The 25,238-nt window shown below is 39.6% G+C and overlaps 1 protein-coding gene across 61 annotated transcripts in view; it reads left to right on the plus strand.

Moving 5' to 3' along the window:
- CEP63 (centrosomal protein 63) overlaps nt 1–25,238 on the plus strand; it is a 296,836-nt gene that overhangs the window by 60,897 nt on the left and 210,701 nt on the right. For 9 of the 61 annotated variants that reach the window (XM_006713760.5, XM_005247795.6, NM_025180.5 and 6 more), the window contains 7 exons: nt 715–852; nt 2,442–2,556; nt 3,443–3,640; nt 5,306–5,392; nt 11,522–11,727; nt 12,530–12,809; nt 14,757–18,411. In XM_006713760.5, coding sequence (XP_006713823.1) covers nt 715–852; nt 2,442–2,556; nt 3,443–3,640; nt 5,306–5,392; nt 11,522–11,727; nt 12,530–12,809; nt 14,757–14,915 — 1,183 coding nt within the window. In that variant the 3' untranslated portion in view covers nt 14,916–18,411. 61 annotated transcript variants of the gene reach the window in all.

Raw genomic sequence — 25,238 nt, forward strand, 5'->3', positions numbered from 1 at the left:
TGCTGGGATTACAGGTGTGAGCTGCCACGCCCATCCAAGCACTAGTTTTCATATTGCATATTCATAATTTTATGTTTGATCATATTGTGGATTTTCTTAATTGGCTTTAACTTCTGAGTTAGGTTTTTAAAGTGTTATAAAATTTTGTGTGGTTAATTTTCTTCTGCCACCAGTTAGGGTCCCTAACAGAGACTCTCATGTTTAGAAAGTTAGAAACCAAGGTCAGTTTGCATGCTTGGTGAAAATCCAAATGTGCAGGGAATTGTCATCCATGTCTCCTGGAGGCCTCACTTTGTTGGTGGAATAAGTTGTGATTAGTAGCTGCTTATCATTAATAGCAGCCAGCCATTGGGCTAGCCCTCTTGCTTGATTTAAGTCTGATGCACACTTTTATTTTTGCCAGAATTCTCCTGTAACTTTTCAGTTTTTTTGGTACAGGGTTTCAAGTGTCACTGAAGTGATTTTGCCATTTTGTCTTTTTCCCTTGAAAAAAGGCCAAATCCCAGTTAAGAAGGGAGTAAATTGCTACTTTTTGAAGTATCAGCATCTCTTGACTCTTTCTTTCCTCTCCCAATATTCTTTTTATAAAGCAGGAGACAAACTTGAAGAGTTCCAAAGAGGTTACCAAAAATGATGGGGAAACACAGACTAGATGAGCATTATTTTTGTTTGCAGAGATAAAGGCGTTAACAATCATCCTATGTCTTTCCATAGGCCACGGGAAGAATCTCTGGCAGAAAAGAAGTACACCTCTCAAGGGCAGGGGGACTTAGACAGTGTGCTCTCCCAGTTGAATTTTACCCATACTAGTGAGGACCTTCTGCAGGCAGAGGTGACTTGTCTTGAAGGCAGGTACATAATTATACACACATTTCAAAAATTTCAAGTTGTTAAAATGAATTTTTGATCATCATATTGTAAATGAATGTAATAGTCATAGTAAAAAAAATAAGATTTTTTTCTAGTATCCACAAATGGCCTAAGTTCTTATTTCTTTTTTTTTTTTTTTGAGACGGAGTCCGCTCTGTCACCCAGACTGGAGTGCAATGGCACAATCTCAGCTCACTGCAACCTCCGCCTCCCGGTTCAATTGATTCTTCTGCCCCAGCCTCCTGAGTAGCTGAGATTACAGGCGTGCACCACCATGCCTGGCTAATTTTTATATTTTTGTAGAGACGGTGTTTCACCATGTTGGCCAGGCTGGTCTTGAACTCCTGACCTCAGGTGATCCACCTGCCTTGGCCTCCCAAAGTGCTGGGATTACAGGCATGAGTCACCGCACCCTGCCCTAAGTTCTTATTTCATTGAGAAGACAGAAGCAATTAAAGGAGAACCTCTTAATCTTTCTGTCATCAAATCTACCAGTCTGCCCATACCTGTGCCTTTCTGCACTTCTAAGACCAACCACTCCACTTGTGTCCTTTTTCTGTAGTTATATCCTTTCTCTTCTGCATCATCAAGTTCTTTCTGTCTGCTGAATCTATCCACTGGTATAAAATACGCTGTAACATCACCCATCTGGGGGAAAAACCATCCCTTAATCCTATGTCTCCGTCAAGTTATTTCCACATTTCTGTACTTCTCTTTAAGACCAAATTCTTCAAAAGAGTTGTCTATACTGACTCTACTTCTTTACCTTTCACCTGTTTAGCAGCCCTTCACTTAGGTTTTCCTCCTTGCCACCTCAGAAGCAGGGTAGGAAGGGGTAACAGTTGACACATGGTGATCCTTTTTGTTCTGCTGTGGTGTTGTTACTTCCTTGGGTGTTAATTGAATCCTGACTAATGCTATACCATACCCACCTAAACACTTGTCATTGTCGTACTTATAGAATTTTTTTTGGTTTTTCATAACCTCTCAACTTTTTGATTGGGAAGAGTGTGATATCTTGTTTTAAACACATGAATCATGATCATTTGTACACTGACATTTTCTGTATGTAAAAGATAAAATTGCTTTTAACATGAACTGTTAACCTTTAGGCAAACAACAAGAGAAATATCATTTTACACTTTTTAGGTTATCTTTAAGTAATACATTTTTTGTTTTTACATTTATTTCTGGTTTTGGAAACCAGTAAGTATTTTCTTACTTTTATCTACATGTTAAATACACAAACATGCATACACACACATATTTTCTGCTTTATTCCTTTTGGAATACTTGGAGTACTTGAGATAGTCTTTGTTATTATTGAAGTATATGTGTACTCTTCCGTTTGACTAAAATTAAGTTTATTATTTTTGACGTTGGGACAACAGTTTACATTTTTATCACAGTTTTTTTATTGATTGGCTTTTTAGTAATATTTTAAATGACTGAGGTGATGTTTAAGATATTGGCTGGATATTTTTTGGATATCAAGAATGTAAATTAGATAGTCCAATTTATAGGTTTCAGGATTTTGGTTTTAAGTATGGGATCTTATTTTTGTCATACAGTTTGGAATCTGTGAGTGCAACGTGTAAACAGCTGAGCCAAGAACTAATGGAAAAATATGAAGAACTGAAGAGGATGGAAGCACATAACAATGAATACAAAGCAGAGATTAAGAAGGTAAAAATCTGCATACCTAGGATTGCAAAATTGTATGTGTTTATGGACAAAGCTGTGGATTGGGAGATTATAGGGGTTATTTTTAATGAGAAAAAAATGTAGTTCAAGGGACCACTTGATATTTAGGAGTGGAAGAGTTTGTGGAATGTGCATAGGGAAAGTGCCTTCTTTCTTTGGCATCGCCCCTGATGCCCAATAAATATTTTTAAGATAATTGAAGGCTGTCCCCTTTGAACTCAAAAACTTTATTTTAAACATGTTTTGATGAAAAGTTTTCTAAAAGACATACACTCTGTTGCTTGCAAAAAAATATGAACTGTCACTTAATATTTTCTTATTGCCTAAAGATAGTATTTATGTATTGTCTCCTGTGCTATGATGTAGTTAGTATCCTTGTCAGCTATTGAGGTATGCAGAGCTGTTTGTGTCTATATGAATGGGCCCTAACTGTCCTATTTGTTTGATTTGTATTTTTTGTTACTTCTTTAAGATTACTTCTAGTTCCTTACTTCCTCTTGTTCTATTTGTTATCCTGTGGACTAAGATACCATATGAGCAAAACTTTTAGATTCACAACTAAAAAAAAGAATGAAGGTCACAAGTACTCTCCTCTAAATTGTGTGCATGGACCTTGATTCTGGTCCTCAGCACTTGAATAACCCATCTCTCCCTGTTTTGAGGTATAATAAATGATTGTAGGTATAACCACCTGACCTTCAGTACAGATATGCAACTTGGTAAATTGCTAATTTTTCTGCAGATTTAATTTAAGAGAAATTTAATGTCTTGAGATAAGGTGAACTTTTATTTTATTAGCTAGTAACATATTATTCTATCTAAATGCTTTCTCTTAACTTTTGGTGCTTTCTTTTCTGCTTCTTTATAGTTGAAAGAACAGATTTTACAGGGTGAACAAAGTTACAGTTCTGCACTAGAAGGAATGAAGATGGAAATCTCCCATCTAACTCAGGAGTTACATCAGCGAGATATCACTATTGCTTCCACCAAAGGTTCTTCCTCAGACATGGAAAAGCGACTCAGAGCAGAGATGCAAAAGGCAGAAGACAAAGCAGTAGAGCATAAGGTGAAGCCTGAACAAAACCTTTTTTAAATTTGAAATTTGTTTTAAAGATGGAGTTGATTAAAGACATAATTTTCATAATATTTAATTCAGTGAATTTTTATTAGATACCTGCTTTGAGCTGAGAGTATGCTGGCTAGCAAAGAGTTTAGTGAGCATGGTGGGGAGGTGAGAGTAGACACAGACAAGTAAAGTGACTGTATCAGTGGTGTATGGTGAGAGTCACTAGAGATCACAAGCAGCCTGAATCTAGACCACTCGCTGCAAAGGCCTTCCAGAAGGTGTGATAGCAAAGCTAAGTTAGGAGCAAGCTGGGTGATGGGGAGGAAAAGTGTTTCAGGCACAGGAAAATACAGAGGTCTCTAAGAGAGAGTAGAAACACGCTTGCTGTGGTTGAAACTAGAGTACAAGTGGGATGAGTGGAAGGTATGAGACTGGAAAGCAGGGACTGGCTGCTGAAGGGCTACGTTAGCCACGTAAAGGAGTTATACTGTGACCTTGAGGTCAGTAGGGAATGGCTGCAAGCAGGAGTAAAATTCAGTGGTCCTTAAATGGAGAATAAGCAGGGAGACAGAGCACCCAGATGCTGTTACAGTGGTAAGATGGTGGCCTGAGCAGTGGGCAAGGGAGGCAGAGGGAAATGGATGAATTCTGGAGATACTGGGCTGGTAAAAATGACTGGGCATTGTATTTGATTGGCAGGGAAGGTGAGGTAGGCAGAGTTAAGGAATGGTGCTCCACAGGATTTAAACTTAGGCAACTGATGGAAAGTGATGCTTTTTAATGAAATAGAGAAAAGACAGGGAGCAAGTTTGGTGAAGGATGATGAATTTGTGTGAAAAGTACACAGACTGGGGAAACTGGTGGAGAGGACATTGGTTTGACACATTTGTTTGGAATAAAGGCTGGAATTTTGTATGGGTAATAGTCAATTCCACAGAAGGCCTGGAGTTGAAGATTAAAATCAGGATTAGGCATTTAGCTGTGGCTGTCCTTTCTTCATGGTGACATTTGAAACCCCCTGAGAGACTTAATGATTATAGTGAGAAAGCATAGCGTAAGAAGAGAAGTGACTCAAACCAAACTTAGGATACTTCTCATTTAGTGTAAAAAAGATGTTGGAATGAAGCTTAAAAAAAGGAGCAGTGAGGAGGGAAATCAGATAGTTTTTGCCAAGCCAAGGAAAGAAGGAATATTTTCAAATGGGAATGGTCAAGCACAAAAGCTGAGGGGAATGAGAACTGAATATAAGTTGTTATTTTGTGAATAAAGTACAATTCCATGTGACGTTGCAGGTAGAAGCCAAATTGGAGGAGGCCAGCACAGGAGAATGGGTAGGGATTTAAGGGGTTCAGTGGATTGAAACTTTGCTGCTTTGTCACCTGATTTATCCTATTAGAATGATATCTTCATCCCATTCATGTTCATTCACCTTAATAACATCTTAAAAATCTTTTTAGAAAGTCCATATATATATATATATATATATATATATATACACACACACACGTACATATATATATGTATATATATATATAAATATGTATATGTATATATATATAAATGAAGAATATGACTTAGCCTAATGAAAATTCCATGTGGAAAAATTTTGTAAGATGCATGTGATTTACATGTTATATTTATTTTTTTCTGTTTTCCCCTTTTCAGGAGATTTTGGATCAGCTGGAGTCACTCAAATTAGAAAATCGTCATCTTTCTGAAATGGTGATGAAATTGGAATTGGGTTTACATGAGGTACATAAATAGAAACTTAAGTTTTTCTACTATCCAAGCCTTCAAAAAAATTACTTTGTAAATATTTACATTATAAAGAGAGAATTAAGATCAACTTAGATCCTTTTGCAGAAATTTTCTCAAAGAAAATGAAGGTAAAACAATACTGGAAGTGAGCAAAATATGACTCTCCACTCCAGCAGCAGGAAGGGTTTTTGTTTGTTTTTTTGAGACGGGGTTTCACTCTTGTTACCCAGGCTGGAGTGCAATGGCGTGATCTTGGCTCACCGCAGCCTCCACCTCCCGGGTTCAAATGATGCTCCTGCCTCAGCCTCCTGAGTAACTGGGATCACAGGCATGCGCCACCACACCTGGCTGATGTTGTATTTTCAGTAGAGGCAGGGTTTCTCCATGTTGGTCAGGCTGGTCTCGAACTCCCAATCTCAGGTGATCTGCCCGCCTCAGCCTCCCAAAGTGCTGGGATTACAGGCATGAGCCACCGTGCTCGGCCAGGAAGGTATTTTTTTATATTATGTATGTGATAAAATTTACCTACAGTCTGTGTTCTTAGTTGGAAGAATGTATATGAAGGACTTAGCATATAGTACATAGTACCTGACACTTAGTAAGTATGCAATACATCCTAGATGGTGGTATTATTATTATTATTATTATTGTTAATGATTATTATGTTTGTTATCTTTTTAGAAAGTATATTGTCTTTAAAATAATTTAATTTTAATTTTATTTCTACAAGATATTCACATAATAAAATATTTTAGAATCTTTTATATCCAAGGACTTTTAGTAGGTGCTATAATGAACACAGGCTGAATAAGATAGCATTCTTGCCTTTAAGAGAGATTTTGGATCAGCTGCAATTACTCAAATTACTCTAGCCTTTAAGAGACTAGAGTAATCTAGTAGCAAGGATAAGAAATGCATACAAGCTTCTGTGAAACCAGAGAGAACATGATTAGCCAACAGTGAATTACAGTATAGATGCTCTTTTAACTGTTTTGTTACAAAATTCCTATAATTTGCAAAATGACTCATCTATTCTGACCCATCTTTTCTTGGTGTAGGTCAGATGTCTGAAAATTGTATAAATGCTTTTTTCCTGCATTTCCAGAGAGTATTCCTCCAAAAAGATATATGGTTCCAACATGCTCCCTGTTTGCTCTGAAAAATTCTAATTTCACAATCCAGGATTGTGGATACTGGGGTGGAAGAACATGCAAAAGACTATTATAGAGTACCTTATTTCAACTGGAAAAATGGGGGACTATTTTTGTAATCTTTCAGAAGGGTAAGATTCTCCAAACATCATGACGCCATAGAGGATTTTACAACATAAAAATGTGAAGTTTCTGGATGGTAAAAGGCCCTATTAAAAAAGACTAATAGGGAGAAAACAGTTTATAATCAGACAAAAGGTTAATGTAAATTATTAATATATAAAAATTCCCTACAAAGATAATAAGGAAAAGATAATCTAGTAGAAAAATAGGCAAAGAATGTAGATAGATACCTCACAGAATTAATATAAATATCTAGTAAACAAAGAAAACTGTTCAACCTCTCTAATAAAGCAAAATAGACATTCTTTTACTAATTGGTTTGATAATAACCTTTAAAAACTAATATATAGCCAGTGTTAGAAAGATGTAAGGAAACAGACTTATTGCACTGTCAATGAGAAAGTGAATTGATACGGCCTTTCTAGAGGACAGCTTAGCAATATCCATCAAATGCGTAAATACGTATAGCCTCTAAATTCCTGGGTCATGTGTGTTTCTGATTTTGATAGTCCTTGCTGAATTGTTTTCAGAATGGTCTTATCTTTTTACATTCCCATGGAAACCATTCTCTAGGAGCAAGTGTGCATAAAATGGTCATTGAAGTATTGTTCGCAATATCCAAAATTTTGAAATAAACTATATTTATTTCAATGGTTAATTTTTGATTTTATGAATATTACACTGTCATTGAAGGTGGCAGATGAAAACACTCATCTGATCTTGCTCTATCCTCAAATCCCTCTAAAACTGTCATGAAAGGATTTATTTTTGTTCTATTTTATTTTTATTTTTTTCCTTTTATTATTATACTTTAAGTTTTAGGGTACATGTGCACATTGTGCAGGTTAGTTACCTATGTATACATGTGCCATGCTGGTGCACTGCACCCACTAACTCGTTATCTAGCATTAGGTATATCTCCCAATGCTATCCCTCCCCCCTTCCCCCACCCCACAACAGTCCCCAGAGTGTGATGTTCCCCTTCCTGTGTCCATGTGATCTCATTGTTCAATTCCCACCTATGAGTGAGAATATGCAGTGTTTGGTTTTTTGTTCTTGTGATAGTTTACTGAGAATGATGATTTCCAATTTCATCCATGTCCCTACAAAGGACATGAACTCATCATTTTTTATGGCTGCATAGTATTCCATGGTGTATATGTGCCACATTTTCTTAACCCAGTCTATCATTGTTGGACATTTGGGTTGCTTCCAAGTCTTTGCTATTGTGAATAGTGCCGCAATAAACATACGTGTGCATGTGTCTTTATAGCAGCATGATTTATAGTCCTTTGGGTATATACCCAGTAATGGGATGGCTGGGTCAAATGGTATTTCTAGTTCTAGATCCCTGAGGAATCGCCACACTGACTTCCACAATGGTTGAACTACTTTATAGTCCCACCAACAGTGTAAAAGTGTTCCTATTTCTCCACATCCTCTCCAGCACCTGTTGTTTCCTGACTTTTTAATGACTGCCATTCTAACTGGTGTGAGATGGTATCTCATTGTGGTTTTGATTTGCACTTCTCTGATGGCCAGTGATGATGAGCATTTTTTCATGTGTTTTTTGGCTGCATAAATGTCTTCTTTTGAGAAGTGTCTGTTCATGTCCTTTGCCCACTTTTTGATGGGGTTGTTTGTTTTTTTCTTGTAAATTTGTTTGAGTTCATTGTAGATTCTGGATATTAGCCCTTTGTCAGATGAGTAGGTTGCCAAAGACAAAAACCACATGATTATCTCAATAGATGCAGAAAAGGCCTTTGACAAAATTCAACAACCCTTCATGCTAAAAACTCTCAATAAATTAGGTATTGATGGGACGTATTTCAAAATAATAAGAGCTATCTATGACAAACCCACAGCCAATATCATACTGAATGGGCAAAAACTGGAAGCATTCCCTTTGAAAACTGGCACAAGACAGGGATGCCCTCTCTCATCACTCCTATTCAACATACTGTTGGAAGTTCTGGCCAGGGCAATTAGGCAGGAGAAGGAAATAAAGGGTATTCAGTTAGGAAAAGAGGAAGTCAAATTGTTCCTCTTTGCAGACGACATGATTGTATATCTAGAAAACCCCATTGTCTCAGCCCAAAATCTCCTTAAGCTGATAAGCAACTTCAGCAAAGTCTCAGGATACAAAATCAATGTACAAAAATCACAAGCATTCTTATACACCAGCAACAGACAAACAGAGAGCCAAATCATGAGTGAACTCCCATTCACAATTGCTTCAAAGAGAATAAAATACCTAGGAATCCAACTTACAAGGGATGTGAAGGACCTCTTCAAGGAGAACTACAAACCACTGCTCAAGGAAATAAAACAGGATACAAACAAATGGAAGAACATCCCATGCTCATGGGTAGGAAGAATCAATATCGTGAAAATGGCTATACTGCCCAAGGTAATTTACAGATTCAATGCCATCCCCATCAAGCTACCAATGCCTTTCTTCACAGAATTGGAAAAAACTACTTTAAAGTTCATATGGAACCAAAAAAGAGCCCGCATCGCCAAGTCAATCCTAAGCAAAAAGAACAAAGCTGGAGGCATCACCCTACTTGACTTCAAACTATACTACAAGGCTACAGTAACCAAAACAGCATGGTACTGGTACCAAAAAAGAGATATAGATCAATGGAACAGAACAGAGCCCTCAGAAATAATGCCGCATATCTACAACTATCTGATCTTTGACAAACCTGAGAAAAACAAGCAATGGGGAAAGGATTCCCTATTTAATAAATGGTGCTGGGAAAACTGGCTAGCCATATGTAGAAAGCTGAAACTGGATCCCTTCCTTACACCTTATACAAAAATCAATTCAAGATGGATTAAAGACTTAAACGTTAGACCTAAAACCATAAAAACCCTAGAAGAAAACCTAGGCAATACCATTCAGGACATAGGCATGGGCAAGGACTTCATGTCTAAAACACCAAAAGCAATGGCAACAAAAGCCAAAATTGACAAATGGGATCTCATTAAACTAAAGAGCTTCTGTACAGCAAAAGAAACTACCATCAGAGTGAACAGGCAACCTACAAAATGGGAGAAAATTTTCGAAAGGATTTATTTTTAAAGCGCAAACCCACGAGGTTGGGAATAATAGGAGAGGAGACAATAGCTAAACATTTTGTAAGGGGGAAAGTGGGAAGGAGGGAAGGAAGGAAGGAAGGGAGGGAGGGAACTTGATATCCCCTAATAAAGTCAATACTAAGCTAGTAGTGGAGAACTCTAAGAACTAAACTGATTTACACCACAGAATTCTGTAAAGGCTTAGGATTCAGCAGTACTTGGTTGAGAGACTCTTATCTTATGCAGTGATTATCTGTTCATATTTAAGAATTGAGAACTCTCAGGGGAACTTAAGCCAGACCATGACCAGAGATGCTGTTCAGCTTAATTTCTCCTGAAACTTCCAGCTATCAATAATAGTGGTAATACTGTTCTTTCTTTAGACAGCTAGATGTGTGCTCGCTACTCAGTTTTCATATTACCTTTCATATTCATTTATCTGTAGTAATTGTTTATAAAATAATAACTTAGAGAAATTTTTAAAACATACCTGAATGAAGGTAAGCATTATCATTTTTTAATAAGTATGTTTAATGACATCAGACATCAAACTGGTGAAAACCTTGTCAGCAGTTTAAGCTTTCTCTAGTTTTGAAATTACATACAGTGTGAATATGTTGTACATATTATGAAGAATAATTATTAGAAAATGCCCTTTTGTATTTTACCATGTAGGAAGCTGAAGTTACTTGTACAAATGAATGTTTGGGTTAAATGTCTATTTTAATAAATTACCTAATTATCTTAATAATGAAAGCAACAGCTCTGATAAATTACTGACCATGTTTTAAAAACCGATAATAGTTTCATTTTAACTCGTATGTCCTGCAGATGTTCTTCTCTGATATTTTATCTGGCATTGACAACTTGTTGAAAGATTTTGTAGCTCATAGTCACTACTTGTACACAGATAGTTCACAGGTATATTTTAAAGTTTATGTTTTTGTTAGGAAAATTATGTTTGTCAGACCACTCTTGACCAGCTTACTTTCATAATTTGTTTTTTTTTTTTTTTTTTTTTTTTTTTTACAGAAAAGACCAAGCTAACCATGGTATTAAACTCCAAAGATTACCATAACTTTGCATAATACTAATTAAAATATTTTGTCATTAGAAAAAAAATCACCCAGACTACCATTTTTTCAAGTAGTGTCTTACCAGGAAACACCTAGAATTGAAGAGCAATAAAATTTATGATACCAGATCAGAATAGTAATTCCCACTATATACTTGAATCCTGCTTTATCATGTCCAAATTTATATATGAGTAGATACCAAAGTTGTAGAAAAGTGTTTAAGATTAGAGATTATTTATTTAAAAGTTGTCCCTGCCAGCCAGAAGATTTTTCTCACAACTTTTTGTTCAAATTTCTTTCCTTGAACTAGGTCTCCGTTTTCTTTCATTAGTATTCTGGGGCTATTCAACCTTCACCTTCTTGCAGAAGAAACATGGCTGCTATTTTCCTTCTTCTTCCCTGTTTCTGATTCCCTCTTACAGCTTTCCTCCATCCTGATTCCATCCTTCCTCCACCTTCTTGGAATTCCTTGCCACACAAGGAAGCCCGTTGTGCTTCTAGTGTTCCACTACCATTTACTTGAAGAATTCTTTATCTCTGTTAGTCTTAGGAGGCCTAAAAACAAAGCTTCATTAAAGCCATAGATTAACTACTTACAACTAAAAAACACTGAATTTTCCAACCAGCAGTATCACAGATCACAGGTATTCTTGTACAGATTAAGTGACTCTAGTATTCTTTTTTATTAGGCAAAAGAGATTTCACTAGCAGACCTCCAGGAGAATTATATTGAGGCATTAAATAAATTAGTGTCTGAAAATCAACAACTACAGAAAGATTTGATGAATACCAAATCTCAGCTGGAGATTTCTACTCAGATGTGCAAAAAACAAAATGACAGGATCTTTAAACCAACACACAGCAGAACAACTGAGTTCAAGAATACAGAGTTCAAGTAAAATTTTTTAAAAGTTTATTTAAAATGTGTATTGGTACAATATAATTCTCATTTCTTTGAGAATAATTTTTGACTTACAGAAATTAAATCTTCATCAAAGGACTCTATGTTTAATTCTGAAGTATAGTGTGCACAAGTAAAGCTATGATCATGTTAAAAAATGGCTGGGGGAGGTGTATAGCATTTTCATTAAAGCTTTAGTTTTGTACACTCTGGATATCAGTGTAAACAAGATGTGTATTACCTGAGGCTTTTCATGCTGCCTTCCACCTCTTCAACCCCATTTGCCCATAAGAAGTAGAATTTGGCTTTTTATAAACAGCTTCCTTTGTCTTTTTAGTCAATTTGTTATAGGCTGTTACCGTAAGAAATAAGCATTCGGTGAAAAGCCACTTGGCTTCAGCTCATACTATATGGCTTACATGTTTTCCTACCCAAAGCCTTTGCTGACACCCTCACCTCCACTCCTACACCCACCCAATCCCCTAGTTAGGTTAGGTGCCTTCTTATGTGCACAGCACTTCTCCTGTCCCAGCACTAACCACACTAGATTACTCTGGCAGCTTGTTTGTCTTTCTTGCTATACCATAAGTGTGTGAGGGCAGGGACTTGGTAGTTGGAATTGGATATTTGGGGCCTGAATGAATGAAAGAAATCTCTTTCTGATCTGAGTAGGTTGCTCATTTTGTAAATTGTAGCCTTATTAGTTAGGCTATTAAGCAAATTTCCTACATTTCTGTTGGAAAGAGAAAAGTTGCTACAATTTTTTATTTGTTTTGTTTTCTAATCTACCATCCAGGCCAACCCATGGCCAGCACAGACATGATGGAATAAAGACTGAGCACTACAAAACAGATCTTCATTCTCCAAGAGGACAAGCGTCGGATAGTATAAACCCCATGTCTAGGGTGCTAAGCCCCCTGAGTCCTCAAATCAGCCCTTGCAGCTCCACCAGGTCTTTGACTTCCTACTCTCTATGTAAAACTCATTCTTTGCCTTCAGCGCTAGATACAAATGAAGCCAATTTTTCTGACACTATGTCTGAGAGTATGAATGACCAAGAAGAGTTTATATCTTCGGTATGGAAACTTTCTGATCTTAGTAATTTGTTAGTTTTTTAAGTTTGCTTTGATTTTTTATTTTAAGGGTGAAGAAGGTGATTTTTTTTTCCTTACTGATTCTTTTATCATAAGTACTCTTCATTATTCTTAGGTATCCCTGTCATACAGTTTTTGCTTGTGAAGACACTTTCGGCCAAGACTACTTTTCAAAATGTTCTGAAATATGTTATACGTATTCATTTGTCTTTAACCCTTATTGGAAATTCCCTTCTTGCCCTTTTCAGTGATGCTCAATTTTCTTCTGGAATGGTTAGTTCAAGAACTGTCTCTGGATGCCAAGATAGTCCTGAGGCACAGGCAGTGAAGGAGGAAAAGAGGAACTGCTGGAAAGGAGAAAGGGAGTGTGGAGGGGGAGGAAGGCTGTGCCTCTGATGTGTGCAGAGCATGGCTTGGGGGTCACAGATGGTGGCCCTCAGGGCAGAATGTGCCTTGGACACCATGCCGGTCCCTTGCTCCTTCCATTGCTGGGCAGGCTGCACCATCTTTTTGCCTTCTGCACCAAAGCACTTGCCATGGGCCCTTCATTTCCTGTCACCAGCTGTGGCCATATAGATGTGAAAGTGCAGTATTTCTGACTTATTAATGTGCTACCAAGTCCATGGAAAGGTTTTCTTTTATTTTTCAAAATAAGTCCTCACTTCACTTTCTTCCTAAGTTTAGCAGCAAAATTTTTTTGGCACCAGAACTTTCCCTGGCCTGAACTGATGTGTTAGTATGTATAGACTTTCTCTATTCCACTTAGTGTGAGTATCCATGTGTTTTGCTTCAGAAATATCAGTGTGTTTGGTGATGGGATGTTCCCTCAGACTCCACTGGGGTAATACAGTTGATCCTCATTATTCACAGATTTTGTATTTGTGAATTTGTCTACTCCCTAAACTTTATCTGTAACTCCCAAATCAGTATGCGCAGCACTTCCACAGTAATTCGTGGACATATGCAGAGTGACAAAAAATTTGAGTGACCGACTTGCACAATCCCAGCCAAGGTCGAAGTAGGCAGCACTCTGCCTTGTTGCCCCTGCTTATGCGGAGGTGACCATAGGGTGGAGATGGACGGGACAGCGCAGTGTAGGGAAAGAAGCTCAGCTCCATGCCAGCTGGATAGAGTCTGAATCCCAGCTTCAGCACCAGTTAGTGGGGCAGCCTCAGGAGAGTTACCACTTCTGAACCTCATGTCTCTCATGTGAAATAAAAAATACAGAATCTACCAGAATGATTTGTTCTAGGATTTAGGATTATGCTCTCTGTGTGGGGTATGTGTGTATGTGTGTGTGTGTGTATTTGTTGTATGTGTGTATTTTCCCTGGGCCAAAAATTCTGTGTTTGCTAATTCAGTGTTTTGGGTGACTTTATAGAACACAACTACTGCTATTGTGAATGAGTATTGACTGCATATGGCATATGTTCTATGTTACCTTTCTAAAATCAGAATTCTGAAATATCACTAGCCTCAAGGGTTTCAGATAAGGGACTGTGGACTGAAAATTTGGAGGAGAAAAAATAATTGATTTTAGCTGGCATCTAATTTATTTTTGTTAAATTTTTGTGCTTTAAAATAAAAGTGACATACTTAGGTTTTTAAAGTGAGTTTGAAATAATAGGCATTAACTATGGAAGCATATATAAGTCTAAATTGAAACATTCTTCAGACCAATAACTAATATATGATACTTTACATTGTTACAATTTGGGTCAGAAACGGAGAGATCTGTGTTAATTTTTGCAGAACTTACTGATTTTTGTTCTTTTATTGCTCTTGTCATTAGGATGAAAACCAAAAAAGTATCTTCAGAGGAAAAAAATCACCTTTTAATATTGCTAGTTAGAAAATGTCATGAACAGTGTATCTTAGAAATATAATATTCTACTTATTTACACATGTCAAAATTTGTGTCTCTTCCAGTGTTCCTTGCCTGTATCTCCCCTTGGTTCAATAGCTACCAGATTTTTGGAAGAGGAGGAACTGAGGTCTCATCACATTCTAGAGCGCTTGGATGCCCATATTGAAGAACTAAAAAGAGAGAGTGAAAAGACAGTGAGACAATTCACAGCCTTAAAGTAGCCTCTTAAAAAAATCACTATCTTGGAAATAAAAATAAACACCAAAGAGTTACTGTCATCTGAAGTAGCAGCTCTTTAAAAACATGAAGAGATAAAATTATAAAAATGATACATCTAAAGCAGTGGTGAAGAAAGCTGAAAAACTGATACTTTTGATAGGCATTTTCTCTGCACTGGTTTGTTTAAAGGACTTCTTCCAGCAATAAGTTGAAAGAATAAACCACTTTGCTAGACTTTTTTCTCATACGAATATTTATTATCATAAAGTGATACTTACCTTGCTGACTTAAATGTGAATAGCTATGTACTAATTGAAATAAGGATTTTATGATACATGTTGAAAATAAAGTAACTGCAGGAACTTTCTTTAGGGGAAATGTGTAGAAGCATGGATTTAGGGGTCAAACATACCTGGATCGATAGACTGGTTTTGCCACTTACCAGCCAACGGGGCTTGTTATTTACTGGGCTGGTAGCCCCTCCTAGCCAAGGGGCTGGTAGTGTGTAAAGTCAGGCTGGTAGTGAATAAGGGGGGGGTGTGCTAAAGAACCTTATCAAGCAGTCCTCTCTTGCTCAACACTCATGCAGAGGAGAGAGGCAGGGAGGGCAAGGGACTGGCTGTCATGCACGGTGCCCATGGAATATCCATTGGAAATAAATGTTCATCGTCTGCACTGCTGAGGACAAGTTTAGATGGGAGACAAAGATCTGGATGTTGATGTGCCGCAGGCATTTGAAACGATGGGAGTTGATAAGATCCACCAGGGAGGCTGTGGAGAGAGAGAGGAGCAGGAGGCTGGGTTTGGGGCCCTGAAAGATGCCAGCATCTGAGGATCACAGGAAATAGATCTAGCAAAGGAACTAGAATGTGCAGTTACAGATGAGAAAGGTCAGTGTAGTGTACTTGCCAGCTCAAGGGTGTGGCCTCTGTGAACCCTCTTTCTGTAGTGGATCTTTCCCATCAGCGTAAAACATCCTGTTATTTCCCCTTTTTAAATAAAACCTCAGTTTTTTTTAATGCCTCTCTTTTACTGCTCTGTATGTTTGCTTCCCTTCACCCAAACACTTCTGGAAAGAGTTGTCTGCAGTGACTCTTTCCAGTTCCTCACCCCGCCCCACCGTAGTTCTCTTCCTAACCCTCTCCAACACCACTTCCATCCCCAGACTGCTTTCTTGCTCTTGAGTTCACCAGTGACCTAATCAGTGTCTGAGCATCATTCAGCACAGTTGGACTCTCTCTTGGCTTCTGTGACCTGGAACTTCTGGTTTCCTCTCTACCTCATCCTCCACTCCATCTCATGGCTTTTCCTCTTCTAACCTCTAAGTCAGAGGGCCCCCTAGAGCTCTGTCATGGGTTTTCTCCCTCAGCATTCTCTTCCCTAGAAGTTTCCATTCCATTCTCAAGCTCTTAATACCACCTATAGGCCAGTGACCCTTACATTTATTACTAATCTTGACCTCTCCCCAGAGCTGCTGTCTTAGATACCTAGCTGCTTATGCGATGTCTTCACTTGGATATCTGACAAACATCTTGTTTCCAAGAGAGAACTCTTTATTCTCCCTCTTGCTAAGATTCCATATCAGGACATAGCATTATGTTTGCCAGTTCCTAGGAGTTACTTATAATTCCTTCCTTACCCACATCCGCATATCCAGTCATTTGGGAGGTCCTGTCATTTCTTCCCCCAGAATCTTATCTCAGACCCAACCGTTTCCCTCCTGCACTTCTACCACCTGATCCAGACTACTTCTCTCTCACCCTGATTCTGGCAGTAGCCTCCTAACTGATAGTACTCACACCAGTAATTCAGGGAGCTTCTGGAGTTATCCTTTAGAAATGTAAATGAAACAGTGTCACCACTGCTTCCCTTCAGACTCTTCCAAGGCTTCTCTTTTTTTTTTTATTGAGACAGAGTCTCACTCTGTCGCCCAAGCTGCAGTACAGTGGCAGGATCTCGGCTCTCTGCAACCTCCACCTCCCGGGCTCAAGTGATTCTCCTGCCTTAGCTTCCCGAGTAGCTGGGATTACAGGCGCATGCCACCAGGCCCAGCTAATTTTTGTATTTTTAGTAGGAACAGGGTTTCACCATGTTGGTCAGGCTGATCTCGAACTCCTGACCTCAAGTGATCCACCCGCCTGAGCTTCCCAAAGTGCTGGGTTATAAGCGTGAGCCACTGCACCCAGCCCCAAGGCTTCTTACTGCACTCAGAATAAAATCCAAATGAATTAGTATAGCCTACAGAGTGTCAATAATCTGGGCCTAATCACCCATTGCATCATCCTTTACTGTGCTCCACCCATGCTGGCGTCCTTTCTGTTTATTGAGTGCAGCAAGCTTTAACCTGTTCGGGTCTTTCATTTGCAGTTTACCCTGAATATTCCCTTTCTCTTACCTCACCTTTGATTGGCGTTTTCCCCCTTGCAGACCTGCACTCTGGCATCCTCTCCTGAGCAAGCCTTCTTTGATTGCTGCCTCCCAAACCTGTTTCTCCCCATTTCTCTAGCTCATTGGCCTGTGTTACTTGCTTCATAGTGCTCACTACTATCTGAAATCATTTCATTACTTGATTTATGTTTGTACTGTCTATTTCTGTCTTTAGAATTAAAACTCCTTGAGGGCAAGGACTTTGCTTCTCTGGTTCATGGTGGGATCCTCATCACCCAGCACAAGCCCAACACTTAGGAGAGGCTCAGCTAGTTTGAACCAATGGAAAATGCCATTCCTGAGGTGCACCACATCGTTTCTTTTGTGTTGGTGTGCATGCTGTCCTTCAGTTTGTCTCCTCTTCCCACACCCTGTCATGTGCTCCTAAAACTCCCCCTTTACTTGGCTACTTTATCTGGCTTGGCAAAGCTTTCCCATATCCCCTGACCCATGTCAGGGAACGTTTCTCCTCATTGCTGTCATGGCACCCTGTGTGTGGCTCTGACCAGACTTTGCTATCCGCTTTGATTTCTGTCTTTCAGGGGCTAAGTCCTGCCTACATCCTCAGTCAGCATGCTGCCTAACACATAACAGATCCTAAGCAAATATTGGGTGGATGAAAATCACTACCATTCAAGGCTTCATTGTATTTATCAGTAAAACTGAAATAATATCTAATGGGGTCGAGAAGATTTACTGAAAATATATATTTGAAAGGGCTTTGCAGTTTTAAGTACTGTACCTATGTGCATTGCTGTTACATTCAGGAGATTTCTGAGTTTTAGACAGTCCCAAGCTTCAGCTTAAAATCTGTAGACTGCAGCCCGTTTCTGAAACGTTTGTACTACGTGTTGACTAGGAGGAACAATGACAGACTCTGTAGTCACCGGAAATACTTAAGGAATCATGAGGTACTATGTATTTCCTTAAATTATACTGTTTTTTAAAGCTGAAGTATCTAATAGTTAATGGGTTGTCCAAATTTGTCAGAACATTTGACTGTAATTTAATGTCTCACCATTTTTCAAAAAGATATATTAATACCAAATATTAAAATGTGTCAAGACTAAATCTGAGTTAGTGTCTTAACACACATTTTCCAAAATCTGTCCGTGATCAGGGTACCCAAATGAGATGAAAAGATTAGGGATTTGTAGTCTACATCTGGTGTTTACAGATAATGTTTTATTGGGCAAGTCATCTCATTCTTCTTGTCCTGGATTCCCATGAATTTTCATCTGGATTCCTACGCAGATTTTAGCTGAAGAGGGCAAAGTTGACTTCCCACTGTGGGCTGGACATTACCTTCCCTTGCAGACTCATTTGATCTCAACAAGTGTAGAAAAAATACTACAACACTCTGTTTCTGTGACATCTGCTTAAACCCAAACAATTCTTACCTTCTCTCTCTTACATACACATAACACCTGGTAAACTGTGGGTGATGATTTTCTGTTTGCAAAACACTCGAGTCCAGTACCTAAAAGTTGCAGATAAGAAAGATAATTATAAAATAAGCTCTATGGCATGAGAACATACGTTAAGCAAACAGTTGTCATGAACAGCACTGAAATGTAGAAAAAGTTAGAAATGTGTCAGCTTGTCCCAAAACAGTTTGAAATAGTATAAATGCATCAAAAAGTAACAAACAGAATCGGGGCAGAGGGAAAATGAGGGCTGTAAACATTGATTCACTAATGAATCTAGTTGTCCAGTCCAGTTGCTAGAGGAAGGCAGCCAAGTTACCTCTGAGCTTCAGAGGGGGAAAAGCAGAGGAGAAAACATTTACCTAAAAGTTTTATGGTGCCCATAAGATAAAAAAAAAAAAAAATCATAGACTTAAGAAAAGCACAGATTTTTTTTGTGTGTTTGAATAAGCGTTTTGTAAAGTATGTGAGTATCCAGAAGAGAAGTCCAACATTTTCATAACTGGTAATAATAATCTGCACAGCTCCCCCCACAGTATGCTTCACTGTGGGTTGATGGCATAAGGCTGACATCCAAATTCAGAGGAAACTGTTCTGAGAGGGCCACAAACATGATTGCGTAAAGCTCTCATGGCCTGAAAAGGGAAAATTTAGAGGGATGATAGACTGCTTTAAACCAATCTTTTGTAAAAGCTATTTCTCCGCAGTGCAATTTTGATAATTCAGACATACAATTCACATCTTTTTTTTTTTCCCTCTCTGTGAGGAACTAGAATTTGGGAATTTTATGTTGCCCATTAAGACCAGGTTCAATTATTTGACAATCATCCAGTCAGAAGAACTTTTGCACTCCTCTTACAAAAAGAACGTAAGGCAGTAGTTGATAGGGGAAGGTCTAAAACTCCTTGATATTAAATGCAAAACATTTATTAATGTTAATAATAGTAATATAATAATATTAAATGCAAAAAATGTGCATTGTGCATTTTTCTGGGGAGAAGGTTCATAATTTTCATTAGAATCTTGAAGGTGTCTGTGAATCAAAAAGAGATTAAAAACCATAGCTTTAGGGACTAGAGTTGTCCCAGAATGGTATCCCATTTCCTGGGGAGAGACATAAAATTGGAGGAGTCCAACCTCTCCCTTCTGGGGCTGAATTTTAAAGTGCAGTTGAATAGTCATTCAAAATTTAAGCTTTTCAATAATAAAAAGACAATTCAGTTCAAAAATGGACAAAAGATTGGAATAGACATTTCTCCAAAGATGTACAGATGGCTATTAAGCAAATGAAAAGATGTTCAACATCATTAGTCATCAGAGAAATGCAAATCAAAATCAAAATAAGATACCATTACACATCCACTATAATAAAAAAAAAATGGACAATCACAAGTGTTGAAGATGATGTGGAGAAATTGGAACACTCATATGTTGCTGATGGGAATGTAAAATAGTGCAGTCACTCTGGAAGACAGTTTGGCAGTTCCTCAAAAAGAGTTACCATATTACCCAGCAATACCAATCCTAAATATATGCTCAAGAAAAATGAAAATATATCCACACAAAAATTTGTACACAAATGATCTTAGCAACATTATTCACAATAACACCAAAGTGGAAGCAACCTAAATATCCATCATTGATGAATGAATAAACAAAATGTATATCCATGTAATGGAATGTTATTTGGGAGCAAAAAGATTTGAATGAAGTATTATACTACTGATGCCACAGCATGGATGAACCTTGAAAACAGGAAGAAAGCAAAAAAAAAAAAAATCACATATTGTATGACTCCATTTACATGAATTGCCCAGAATTGACAAATCTGTAGAGATAGAAAATAGATTGGTAGTTGCTAGGGATTGGCGGCGGAAGGTTGGGGTGGGAAATGGGGTGGGGATAGGAGGATTGGGAGGTGAAGACTAAAGGGTATGGGGTTTCTTTTTGAGATGAAAATGTTCTAAAATTGATTGTGATGGTTGCACAACTCTGAATATAACAACTAAAAACAACTGAATTGTGTACTTTAAATGGGTGAATTATATAGTATGTAAATTATATCTTAATCACTGTTACCAAAAAAAAAAAAAAAAGCCTCTGATGCATGGCAGCTCCTTAAAAATATCAAGTTTATATTAAGGGAATACCACAACACATATAGCACAAGCTATTCTAAAGTTTTCTATTTTCAACTCTCAGTTCACAGGAGTAACGGTACCTTTCTTGGAGAGAGTGGATGTTCAAGCTCTGTTAATCATTGCTTGTGGTGTGGGGTGGCTCTGCACTGTGCAATATTGTGGGGCAGAGGGCCAGGGGCCTGCACACCGCAGGGGTTCCTGCTCTTCCGGGTGGGAGTTCAGTCTTGGTGCTGCTTCCTGTTAGGCGAGGTTGCAGGCAGCAAAGGCCACTCATCAGCCAGGCAGTGTCTTGGCTAAGTGTATTCTAAGGAGAAGCTGCAGGAATGCTTGGCGCTAACCTCAGTGCTTAGAGGAGGACTGTTTACAAACACTTTAGAGGGTTACAGACCACTGATGTGGAATATGAGCATATTGAAGTTCTGCCCTAAGACTGCTTAGCAAGTCCCTCAGTATCTCTACAAGCATGACTGGGCAAAGTAAAGAAAGAAAAGCCAAGTACATTACCTAAACCTGCTTTATTTCTTTGGCTATGAGAAACAGATGAGCTAAGATACTCTTTGAAACTAGTCTTCCTAGTCCTTTTCTGGAGTGGCTATCCCTTTGACAGGCATCCACTGTGGATGGGCTAATCATCAGTTCCCAGAGCTGTCCTGATTTCTGTGGCACCAGCTTTGGGAGGTAATGGGGGCCTCTCAGTGGGCCAGCTCTTGGATTTGTCTTGCCATTGATGTATAGCATAAACCCAAACAGCCCACCAGTCCCTGACTTTTCTGCGACCTAGGACATGTGTTTCAGATCCCCAACTTAAATAAAATACAACAAACAAGACCGGAAGTGTTATCTCCCAGTTAGTTTCTTCAGCCACAGGCAAGCATAGCCCTTGGTCCCAACAGGAGCATGCACTGCAACCCTGCAGGTTCCTGTGTAACCCAACAGGGCAGTGGCTGGGGCAGGAGCTCAGTGCTTCCCCAAGGATCCCCTTTTCTGGAAGACAGGCCCCTCAGCCCAGCATGGAACCCCAGCAGTAGCCTGTTCATATTAATAAATTCTGGACCATGGGCAAAGGACAGGAAAGGTTCCAGATTGGTGATATGTTCAACCTGCTACCTCCTGCATGAGCTATGGCTTGTAGACTAAGAAGGCATCACCTGATCTGTTTATTTTGCTCCAAAAAGGTTTAACATTAACCCATTGTTTAACAACACCAAGCAATTCCAGACGCTTCCCCAGGCAAAGTCATTCCTTAAATCCACATTTCTCAAGCTGTTTTCCAGAGATCCAAAATATTTGAAGTATTAAGTGTTTTATTAGTCCATTTTCATGCTGCTGATAAAGACATACCTGAGACTGGGTGATTTACAAGAGAAAGAGGTGTAATAGACTTACAGTTCCACGTGGCTGAAACCTCACAATCATGGCGGAAGGCAAGGAGGAGCAAGTCACATCTTACATGGAGGGCAGCAGGCATAAAGAGATCCTGTGCAGAGAAACTCCCCTTTTTAAACCATCAGATCTTGCGAGACTTATTCACCATCACGAGAACAGCGTGAGAAAGACCTGCCCCCATGATTCAACCACCTTCCACCAGATTCCTCCCACAACACGTGGGAATTCAGGTGAAATTTGGGTGGGGCCCCAGCCAAACCACATCATTCCACCCCTGGACTCTCACATATCTTGTGTCCTCACATTTCAAAACCAATCATGCCTTCCCAACAATCTCCAAAAGTCTTAACTTATTTCAGCATTAACTCAAAAGTCCATAGTCCAAAGTCTCATCTGAGACAAGGCAAATCTGAGCCGATGAGCCTGTAAAATCGAAAGTGAGTTAATTACTTCTCAGATACAATAGGGATACAGGCGTTGGGTAAATATACCCATTCCAAATGGGAGAAATTGGCCAAAACAAGGGGGCTGCAGGCCCCATGCAAGTCCGAAATCCAGCGGGGCAGTCAAATCTTAAAGCTCCAAAATGATCTCTTTTGACCCCATGTCTCACATCCAGGTCACGCTGATGCAAAAGGTGGCTTCCCATGGTCTTGCACAGCTCCACTCCTGTGGCTTTGCATGGTACAGCCTCTCTCCCAGCTGCTTTCATGGGCTGGCATTGAGAGACTGTGGCTTTTCCAGGTGCACGGTGCAAGCTGTCGGTGGATCTACCGTTCTGGGGTCTGGAGGACAATGGCCCTCTTCTCACAGTTCCACCAGGCACTACCCTAGTGGGGACTCTGTGTGGGGGCTCTGACCCCACATTTCCCTTTCGCACTGCCCTAGCAGAGGTTCTGCATGAAGACCCAACCTCTGCAGCAAACTTCTGCCTGGATATGCAAGCGTTTCTATACACCCTCTGAAATCTAGGTGGAGGTTCCCAAACCTCAATTCTTGTCTTCTACACACTTGCAGGACTAACACCACATGGAATCTGCTAAGGTTTGGGACTTGCACCCTCTGAAGCTATGGCCTGAGCTCTACGTTGGCCACTTTCAGCCACAGCTGGAGTGGCTGGGACACAGGGCACCAAGTTCCTAGGCTGCACACAGCATGGGGACCCTGGGCCTGGCCCATGAAACCATTTTTTCTTCCTAGGCCTCCAGGCCTGTGATGGGAGAGGCTGCTGTGAAGACCTCTGAAATGCCCTGGAGATATTTTCCCCATTGTCTTGGGGATTAACATTCGGCTCCTCATTACTTATGCAAATTTCTGCAGCTGGCTTGAATTTCTCCTCAGAAAGTGGGATTTGCTGTTCTATTGCATTGTCAGGCTGCAGATTTTCCAAACTTTTATGCTCTGTTTCTCATTTAAAACAATGCTTTTAACAGCACCCAAGTCACCTGTTGAATGCTTTGCTGCTTAGAAATTTCTTCTGCCAGATACCCTAAATCATCTCCCTCAAGTTCAAAATTCCACAAATCTCTGGAGTAGGGGCAAAATGCCACCAGTCTCTGCTAAAACATAGCAAGAGCCACCTTTGCTCCAGTTCCCAACAAGTTCCTCATCTCCATCTGAAACCAGATCAGCCTGGATTTCATTGTCCATATAGTTATCAGCATTTTGGTCAAAGCCATTCAACAAGTCTCTAGGAAGTTCCAAACTTTCCCACATTTTCCTGTCTTCTTCTGAGCCCTCCAAGCTGTTCCAACCTCTGCCTGCTACCCAGTTCCAAAGTCGCTTCCACATTTTCAGGTATCTTTTCAGCAACACCCCACTCTACTGGTACCAATTTACTGTATTAGTCTGTTTTCATGCTGCTGATAAAGACATGCCTGAGACTGGGCGATTTACAGAAGAGGTGTAATGGACTTACAGTTCCACTTGGCTGGGAAAGCCTCACAATCATGGCAGAAGGCAAGAAGGAGCAAGTCACATCTTACATGGAGGGCAGCAGGCAAAAAGAGAGCCTGTGCAGAGAAACTCCCCTTGTTAAAAACATCAGATCTCATGAGACTTATTCATCACAGACTTATTCTGTGCTGTCATGAGAACAGCACAAGAAAGACCTGCCCCCATGATTCAACCACCTCCCACTGGGTCCCTCCCACAACGTGGGAATTTAAGATGAGATTTGGGCAGAGACACAACCAAATCACATCAAGTGTTTTTTAAGAATATGCCAAAACAGAATGGAAAACACAGCAAGTCAAATTCCCCAGAGCCAGGTCAGCCTCTGAATGGGATTAGGAGTGCCCTCTCTCCCTCCCACTGGCAAGCATCTTGCCTCAGCCTCCTCTGTTGCTTCCCAAATGGAATGGGAGCTGGTGGCTTAGGTACTTAGAGGTTCTTTACCTTCTGTGTGTCAGGGATGCCTCTGGCAGAGTTGAGGAGCCTATGGACCCCTCAGAATAATGACTAAGTGCATAAAGTAAGATACAAAGGCCGGGTGTGGTGGCTCACGCCTGTAATCCCAGCGCTTTGGGAGACCGAGGCAGGTGGATCATGAGGTCAGGAGATCGAGACCATCCTGACTAACATGGTGAAACCCCGTCTTTACTAAAAATACAAAAAATTAGCTGGGCATGGTGGCGGGCACCTGTAGTCCCAGCTACTTGGGAGGCTGAGGCAGGAGAATGGCGTGGACCCAGGAGGCGGAGCTTGCAGTGAGCTGAGATCGTGCCACTGCACTCCAGCCTGGGCAACAGAGCGAGACTCTGTCTCAACAACAACAACAACAACAGCAACAACAACAAAAGATACAAAGCATTAAATGGAAAATAAAATATCATCATTCAGTTATGAAAACCTAAGAAAAAACAAATTTGTGATGTAGTATTATATGCACTTCTTTGTTAACTCATTAAATAACAAGACTGAGTGGCAGGTCTATCACCTACCA

The sequence above is a fragment of the Homo sapiens genome, chromosome 3 (assembly GCF_000001405.40).
Source record: "Homo sapiens chromosome 3, GRCh38.p14 Primary Assembly".
In the NCBI taxonomy this organism is placed as follows: domain Eukaryota; kingdom Metazoa; phylum Chordata; class Mammalia; order Primates; family Hominidae; genus Homo; species Homo sapiens.